Source organism: Homo sapiens, chromosome 19, assembly GCF_000001405.40.
Source record: "Homo sapiens chromosome 19, GRCh38.p14 Primary Assembly".
Lineage (NCBI taxonomy): Eukaryota > Metazoa > Chordata > Mammalia > Primates > Hominidae > Homo > Homo sapiens.
Genome location: NC_000019.10, coordinates 31,711,869 through 31,721,238, shown reverse-complemented (window position 1 = coordinate 31,721,238; position 9,370 = coordinate 31,711,869). Strand labels below are relative to the sequence as shown.

The 9,370-nt window shown below is 42.4% G+C and overlaps 1 long non-coding RNA gene across 2 annotated transcripts; it reads right to left on the bottom strand.

Annotated features, from left to right (window-relative positions):
• Positions 1-2,404: 2,404 nt before the first annotated feature.
• Positions 2,405-8,469, bottom strand: LOC105372361 (uncharacterized). Of its 2 annotated transcripts, none has more exons than XR_935906.3 (4): positions 8,067-8,469; positions 7,545-7,663; positions 6,389-6,515; positions 2,405-3,222 (listed from the first exon to the last, which is right to left on the bottom strand). It is a non-coding gene; the product is annotated as an uncharacterized LOC105372361 (long non-coding RNA). The 2 variants fall into 2 exon arrangements; XR_935905.3 differs by lacking the exon at positions 2,405-3,222 and adding an exon at positions 5,456-5,644.
• Positions 8,470-9,370: the final 901 nt, after the last annotated feature.

Sequence of the window (9,370 nt, the reverse complement as noted above, 5' to 3'; positions counted from 1 at the left end):
CCAAGAAGTATAATAACATGGTTTGCGAAAACTGGGTGGGCACATGTGGGTTCTTCCCTTAAAGTGAGATTTCAGGGGAGATCTTTCTTTGTATTGAGAGGGTCATCCTGAGCTTCTCTCCTCTCTAATTCGTTCAGTAGCACAGGGCATATCAATACTCATTACTTTCAATTGAACATGAGCCATGAACTTGGGGCTGATAAGTGCAAGGCTGACTTCTTTCCTCTGGGGATGGATTCCCTCTAGCTGCATCTCTCCCATCATGGTCATCATCCCTGCATTGCAGTCATCTCACTGTCGGGGAGGCAGGTGGGGGCACCTACTTGGAGGCCTCTCTCGCCAACAGACACCCTTATCCAGGACTCAGCCAGCTCATGGGTAAGGGAGCTGACCAGGCGATCAGGGCAGGGGACTGGGCAGGGTGGGTCCCAGCCAGGCGGGCCTATTTATTTTATATTCAGACATATCAAGCGTACAATTACTGTGACTGTAGTTATCAAACCTTGTATTTGAGAGTCTTTTTATGGGTCACTTAGGATAAAGTACTTATACACCAGCAAGTGCTTGGCTAGGAGTTTTCTCTATGCATCAGGAGGTGAGTTCAGTGGGAACAATGCCTGTGTGTGCCCTGCACTCCAGCCCCTCTCCAATGGATAATCCTGGTGATGCCTCTGACAGCCGTGCTTTAGATTTTGATTTATGATCTTCTAAAGCTAAAATCAAAGATTCCATCTAGTGCTATTTTATGGCAGCCGAGATGATGAATGGCGGAGTCTCTCAGCCCAACGAAGCTGCTGTGTCTTTGCCCCTGGATTTTAATTGCTAAAGTAGCCAGTCATTGCTCAGAATTCAATGGGAAGCAGAGTTGGGAAACTGTGGAGATGGTCTTTGGGAAAAAAAAAAAAAAGGAAACAGGAGTCCTCTAACTTCTCTTTAATCATTCATGGGTTAGCCAGGGTGAACAAAGAAGAGAATAAGTAATGTCTTCTACATTAAATTAAACTTTTAAGTGCAAATTAAACATGCATATTTCATGTTTATAAATTGGTTATAATATAATGTGACATTCATTTCTTTAGGAGACATGCATGCATTGGTTTAGTCTCTCTCTAGTGCCTAGTGAATTATTTAGTCTAGGAGGGCCTAACCAGTCACTTTCTGCCCCATTTGACTTGCATCAAATCTTCTGGGTTTACTTTTGATTATGGCGGGGGTTGTTATAAATGAGGGGTTTCTGACCAGTGCCACCGCAGCATGTTGGAACATGCTATGTGGGAGCCATAGCTGGCGCTCTCTATAAATGATGAATTGTTCAAATAACATTCTTGAATTGAGAAGATGGATTTAACAACATAAAAAGATGTGCTGTGTTTTAGGTGTTTACAGTATAATTCATTATCCCTTTTATCTTATTGACTCAAAAGCTGGTAACTGTTTTCTGACCTTACGTTCTGCACTTCATGTCTGTGGGCTTGCTTTATTAGAAAAACATTTCTTTTTATCTTTGTGCCTCATTGTTTACAAGTGCAAACCTAATTTTATCTTTCAACCTTTCTTCAAAAGCAAAGAAATAAAAAAAAATGTAAATAAAATCAACACGCAGTACATCATAAATCTTACGAGACATTACTCTGTGATTTCCCCTTAAAATCTATGTAATAAAGATTGTTTTTAAAACTCTTCCCTGCAAAATCAATGATGCAAATTAGAAAAACAAGCAGGCAATAAATTCTTTCACATCTGTAGTCCTTGCATGAATTTGTAATAATTTTTAATAAAGCATGATTGCAGTTTGTAGCACTGAATAATTTAATCAAATATAGATGTGAAAAGAATACCTCTTGTTCACCTAAAAGGGGAAAAAATATCACCCACAACAATCCACAACTCTCTGTTGCCATGTATGTGGACATCTTTGCAATGATAACAATTGCCCTCCCAGCCTATTGCTTGGAGGATGGGTAACAACGTCTCTTGGACAGAAAAATATGAAAGAGTGAATGAAGCCGCCTTGGGTGAAACAGAGCTTTGGCAGTAATTTATAACAATGACATAGGAGAGAAGTTTCTCTAAATGAGGCATTCAGATAGCCAAACCAGTCATTTATCGTAATGATTAATACAAATGGTATTCATAATAATAAATATCACAGCCCTTGCGTTCGGCACTGAGGAAGGAGCCGGGATTCGCTGAGCTGAGAGTTCTTAGGCGAACATCTTGCATGTGCCTGCAAGATGAGGCCATAATAGGAATCGGAGCAAACCCTCAGTGGCCATACATTTTAGAGACATCAGAGTCCAGGTATTCCCAAATTTCCTCCTTTAGCGAAGATATAATAATGCACCGAAGACCGGTATCATAATCTAGAACTAAGAGTGCCGGTAGTTGTGTGTTAAACAAATGAAGCTGTCAGAAAAACGCTAGGCTCAAGAGAAAAATTACCAGGCAGGCTGGAGTCGTTATGCAAAATGTTTCTTCCTGTACTCAGTTGTAGGTTCCGTGAGTCCGTATTTCTTCAACAGTTCAAATATTTTTATCTCGGCTTCTCCCTTCTTAGGGACTTATGTGATTAAGCTGTGGCCGGAACAGATAGCAGCGTTTTTGAGTCAGGTAGCACAAAGGCATTGTGCCTCCGAGAACGGAGAGAGAGAATGGCCGAGGTGCCTCGGTCCTTACCCTCGCAACACAGAGTACTAGCCGCAAATGCTGATGAGAAAAAATTATTTTATATCGGAGAATCAACATAAAAAGTCACTTTATTTGGAGGAAAATGCGTTGATGTCAGACCTTGATACAGTTTATGTCTTCTGCCATTTTTTTAGGTAAACATGCTTTCCACTACATGACATTACTAAGTAGGTTAAGTATAGCCACGGGCAATCATCCATCATTACAGAATGTAGCATATTCTGTTCTCTGAAAGGTAAAAGTTTTCCACTGTACCAAGATGACATTTAATTTTTCATATCTCCTCGTAGTCCTGGAATGAATTTTGGCAGACCTGATGCAATTTAGCAGCTTGGCAGTTTAAAATTGGGCAATGAATCACACGGATTCACTAGAAACGAGTCACTGCATAATATTTTCTCTGTGTCAGGAGAGAGAGGGAGCGGGAGCAGAGTCGGTGGCCAGTAGAAAGGTTTATGGCATACTTAATGCATACATCTGACCAGTAATGTATTTGCTATAATGTTTACTTAGTGGATGCTGGGGAAAGAATTCCTTAAAAAAAAAAAAAAGAAAAAAGAATCTAATTACAATTTTAAAAAGACTATATTTGAATTTAATTTAAATGTAAAAAAAAATAAAGTGGGAAAAAAGATTCACAGAACAAAATTTAAAATGTTTGCTTCTTTCTCTCGTTCCCTCCCTCTGTCTTTTTCCCTCTCAATCTTGCCCAGTCTCTGGCTCCGATCTAGCCCCTCTCTCTTCCAGTACCTTGACCAGATTATTTATTACTCCTTGCTCAACTCGGCTTGTGATTAAGTTTGTGCTGGAGTACTGGAGTGAGGGCTCCCGGTAACATTTACCCAAGGAGACAATGTTCCCACAGAGCGGCCCTTCTCCTGCTTTATATAAAAAGGTTTATTTGTGGTGTGTTTGGTAAAGGTGAAAGGGTCCAAAGGGCCTTCTATTTGATTTTTGACAAAGTGTACTGTGGATGGAAATCAATAGTGTCAGCCAAGCTATCTCAGTCGCGGTGCACTGCCACTGCAGGGCTTTATTCAGGAGACGAGATGAACCAAACAGGCAGAGACTGCACTGACAAAGCTCCTGACACCCACGCTTTATTAGACACTCACAGAGCCCGAGACAGGGACTCGGAGCCCGCCCGATGACTACGCTTAAAGAACTGGGCCCAGAGACATTTGTCAGGGTCATGGCCGAGAACGCTCATGTTTCTTCTAGTAGAAAGTCTATGATAAATTGACTTATCTATATGCTAAATGATTTTTATTGCCTTGTATTAATTTCGCCCAAATTTTGTAACCGTCTGCGTATGTAGTGAATGCACTTCCACTTAGGAATATATATATTCCTTCCTTCCTTTTAATGGGAAAATAGAAACAGTTTGGCACCCCAGAAAACAGCTCTGTGCTTTTCGCCAAGCTATCCAAAACGCAAATGCACTTTTCAAAGGAAGCTCCATCCACACCGCCGAAGGTTCTGCGCCTCCACCCAAGAGCCAGGCAGGGAGAGTAAGGAGCTGTTTACATTGGCTTCAAGAGGGTTGCGTCTGTGTGAGTGACAGATGTCCTTGCCAGAAGGGGGCTGTGCTCACATTCTTTGAGTGTGCAAAAAATGGTTTCTAGAGTCTTGTTTTTTTTCTCTCATTCTGCAAATTTGCCATTTATATGAAAAAATTGAAATGTCATTCTTATGTTTATGAAATGTGATATGCTCATAGAATCTTAAAAAAAAATAAAAAAACTCAAATTACACCACGTTGGAAAAGCATTTAGCATCTTCAGGGCAGGTGACCTAGGACAGAGGTGTCAGTCGGCAGGTGGAACACATTCCCTTTCTGTTTCTTTAGACTTGGAATGCTGAACGTGATCCCAGTTTGCCCCAAGGAAGCCCAGAAAGCATCTCTGAGCAGGGTAGGACAATGTTGCACAGGAACATTTTATTAATTCACTTTTTTTCTTCGCTCCTTAAGACTTGCTAATGCAGGGAGATCTAGTTTACAAGGACTGGCTGGAAAACGTGCTCCAGAAGGAACTCCTCTGGAGTTGAACTCATTTTACAGTCATTTGAAACTCAATATTTTGCCCCATTTTCCTACTTCCAGCTCCGTTTTCAATCCCCCACTCTCAACTCCTCTTCTGTCCTGAAATTGTTCTGAGACATTTATTATGTATCTTTACACCGAATACGGTTTCTTTCCTTGCTTGAAGACCCAGCTAAGCAAATACTGGAAAATTTGCTTTGCAAAGTTTTTTGGCTTCATAAGCTTTTCCAATTTTTCAGGACATAAAAGAAACCCGACCTCCCAAAGTAGAATGGAAATCAGCTTAGGATGTGGGAAAGAACTTAGGATGTTTGTATTGTTTGTTTCTTGCTTTTAAATGACCAAAAAATATTTACAAGATATCACTCAGTAAATGTCCTTTTAAAACACAAACACACCACACACACACACACACACACACATACACACACACAGTGGGTACACTAAAAACATTATTCTATAAGTCATGCCCTGGAATGACTTAGAGAAACTGATTCCATTATAGCACTTTTAAAAGTTGGCATGTGGCAATTTTAAATTAGGGGCAAGCATCTTCAAGAAAACAAAGCAGTAGGAGAAAGCAAAAGGCATGCTTTTCCCATTCTCTGTGAAAACACTTTGTTTTACTCTTTTTTGATGCCAGGGCCTATTTTTCAAAACGTGGGGGATGTGTTTCTTCCATTTCGAAACCTCCTTTCCGGTTTGGGTCAATTCGAGGTTTTCATAAGGTCCCGGTTGTTTGGCTGTGATGTCACTGTGGGCGTTCACTGACCCTGGCTGGTGCCACATGCCAAGCCCTGGCGGGGCTCCTCCTGGCTGCCCTGTGTCCCCACGGGCAGATCTTCCCCTGTCCCCTGGAATCTGGGTTTTAGCGTTTCCTCCTGGTGGTGAAGACTTACACACATTCCCACTCTGCGAAATCACATTATTCTAATGAGAATGCAAATGAAAGGAAAGCTGTGGGAAATGGCTCTAGATGAGTTGCTTGTCAAAAATGTTTTCCTGGGGAGGGGGCGCCGGGAAGGGGCGGGTGAGCCAAGCTCCCTTGCTTGCCGAGTGAGCAGCGTTTTCTGGGGGACTCGCGTTGGGTGGCACCTGGCCAAGTCTGAAGGAAGCACATCTTCATTGATGTGCCTATTGTTACTGGTTCTTATTCATGGTATTTAAACAACTCATGCAGGTTTTGACAGCTTTTCCCTTTTCATATTTACATAAGTCCTTTGATTTTGGTAAGATTTCTGAGAACCAGTGGTCAGAGGAGGGAAAGGGGAAGCAAGGTGAATGCAGGTTTGGACGGGGCATCGGTGGAACCCCTCAAAGGCTCAGGCCCAGGGCAGGGTGTTGAAAACATGTGTCATTGAGGCACAAGAAAGAGCCATGGCTCTAGGTCCATCTGCTAGGTTCCTAAAACACTCTTTAGTGGAGTGGGGAAAAGAAGATACATAGAAGGCAGGACCAGAAGGGAATTCACTTGGGGAGCAGTGCACAGTGAGCTCTCATCGCATCTAAAGATGATACCTAGCCCTTTGTGGCCTTGGGTTTTTACGTTCCTTGTAATGGGTTAGAAGTCCAGGGCTCTGTCCCCATCACTGAGCTCTAATTGTTACGGCCATGTGAGATCTGGCTATTAATGTCCTTATCCTTATGGGGATTCACCTGGATCCCTGGTGTTCAGACAGGCAGCTGGGCTGGGAGATCACTGCACCTTCCCATGCAGCCTGTCTGAGATGGCATCTTTTCAGGGTGAACCAGAGTAATGCAGGTCCCTCCGTGAATACAGGACCTGTCAGACATGTAACAGGATAAGTTCAAAAACAGAGTTCAGCATGACCCAAAATAAAATCACAGCTTTTTGTTACATGTGAGTCCCGTGAGGGTGGCAGAGGACACTCCTGGGGTGGGGGGTGCCTGGGTTTGGAGGCTTGGAGGCCACCCCATCAGTCCATCTTGTCTCACGGGCAGGTAAGAAACTCAGCGCTATTTGGACCTTTTCAACGGAGGGAGAATTCATGTATTTTCTTAATAAGATGTTAATTTTCCATAGCATGCCATTAGATTGCAACACATTTTTTAGGGAAAGATGTTATCTTTATGGAGTTGACTTATTTGCAAACTTAACATAAGCTTTCAAACCCACAGAAAATATGGCAGTGTGTTTATATTTAAAATAGATTTTAAAAAATCCAGTGAGTTACTGTGAATTTACTTACCGCCCAATAATATAGGGATAAAAATAGCTTATGCTCCTATTTTAATTAAAAGCAAATCATTTTTGTCAAGTAACAGGAGCTCAGTCTAGTGGTTAGATCATAAAGTGGGAGTGGAGATTCTTAGCTTTCTTCTTGGCTTGGGCATGCACTGGCTGCCTGATGGGGCAGGTTTTTAATCTCCTCTGAACAACTCTGCAATCCTTGTTCATAGTGACCCCCACTGTAATCAAAGGCATCCCATATGGCAAAGTCCCAAGCCTTGGTCTGAGAGGTTGGCAGTTGACATCAAGGATTGAGAGACAACCTGAGGGTGGAAGGGTTGGAGACAGGGCCATTATGGGGGTGTGGGATTTTCCATCACACCAAAAAAATTGAGTGGCATGTCATGTTCAAAGGGTCTGCAGTTGATTCCCATGGCTGCTGGAAGACATGGATCCAAACATGCTCAAGCCATCTCTTGTTCCCAGGACTGACCCACGTCCCAAATTCAAGAGGAGGAATGATATTGTCAAGGGGGTGGGTATAGGTATCCTGCAGCCCACGATTGCATTTGCTCCATATTTTCTCAACTATCATGTGTTTTTTGAGCACCTACTGCATACCTGATTTGAAGATGAGCCAGTTCTATGTGGATGAGAACAGCTGGGGAATATTGCATGGCCAAGGGAGATTGTTGCTGGCCTCTGAGCATTGCTGTGCCTCCAGAGCATTGCTGGACATCCTTTGGAAATAAATGATGTGCAAGATGTAATTTCTACCGTCCAGGGATGCCAGCCATGTTGGAGACTCAAGGCAAGGTGGCAGTCCCCGGGGAGTCTAAATAACAGCACAAAGAAGCTAGTAGTTAAGTTTTGACCTTCACAAGGTAATTAATAAGGAGATAAGAGCAGATCTCATCTATTGTCTGAGTGTATTACTTATGTGAGCATCAGGATGGAACCTTCCAGTGTGTATTGGTGCCAACAGCATTGGACTTGGAGTCTGAAAACTGGGTTTGAACCCTGAATCATCTACGTACTTAGTCTATGAACTTGTTCAAAGCTCTTCATTAGTACAGTGCCCATAAAATGTATGAGAACATGCCTTACAAACTAGAAGCACAGTGCATGAATATAGTCACTTACCTTGCTCTTTGATTTGTCACTTGTACCTGCTTCTTCGTAATCCCTACAAGGAAGAGACTTCGTATCTTCCCTGGGACTGAATACATAGGTAGGCGGATGGTTAGATTTATATTAGCTGCTTCCAGATTTATAGGAGGCTGCTTCCTCAGTAACAATAGTCTCTGAAAATATCACTTAAGGAGCAGAAAAATCATTTGGTTGGAAAATATAAAAACACACCTATCTATCTCTTTCTTTCCCATCGTAATAAGCATGCATGTGCCATTGTGGTTTTCACCAAGATGCAGTAGTGAAGCAGGAGGGAAAGGGAGTAGGGTTTTCTAGTTTCCGTGCAGGGCAGTTTTCTATTGGGATGTTCTTTCTTGTATAATGATTCATAAAGTTGTCCCATTTTCTTCCTTTCCCACCAAAGGCCACCGAACCTGATGAATCTGCCAGAAAGACTCCTCTAAACCAGGCTCCAAAGAGGTCACAGACAGATTAGGGGTATGACCATTCCTATATATGAGCCCCCAGGGAACTTGAATCCCACTTCCAGGAAATAATTAGAAGTGACTAAGAATTTAACTTTGGTTCTGACCGTAAGTATGAAAGGGCCAAGGGCACAAGGTTTGAATTTAGACCAACCTGCATTAGAATTTTTACTCTATTATCTCACAGTAACTTGGCTAACTAGTTAACTTCTCTGGGCCTCAGTTTTCTTGTTGATAAAATAATAATAATAATATCTCTCTAATATTGTTACAAACATTCAGGGAGAAATGTATGTAATGCTTATTGTTATTATCCATGCCCTAAAATAATTTAGGTATGGGGGAAATCAGTTCAATATGGGTTGGAGCAGTCGGGAAAAAAATGTCACAGCAAAGGAAAAGGGATTCCTGGACCATAAAATTTCCAATCCCAGTTCCAACCAAGCAGAGCATAAACTTAGTGAATGGAAAAGTATATCAGGGCCTTGAGGCTGATGAACGGGCAGAGACGATTCTATGATCTGCTGCTGCAGAAGCCAGGAAGGATGTTTAAGAAGTAGGATGTGGGGGAGCTGGCAGAGAAGTGACAAAGCCTGTCCTTCAAGACACCAGCTTGAAGCACCTGGGTGGAGAGAAAAACTAGGGTGAGAAGGAATTCAACAGCCAGATCATGACTAGAAGGAGAGGGCAGAGGGTGGCAGGTCAGGCTGCGGAGCACATGAGTCCTCAATATTCACTCGTTGAACAAAAGTTATTGTGCCATGCGTGATTCTACACCCTAGGACACAACAAATTCTCCCAGCTCCTCTGGAGCTCACTTTCTGGTAGGAG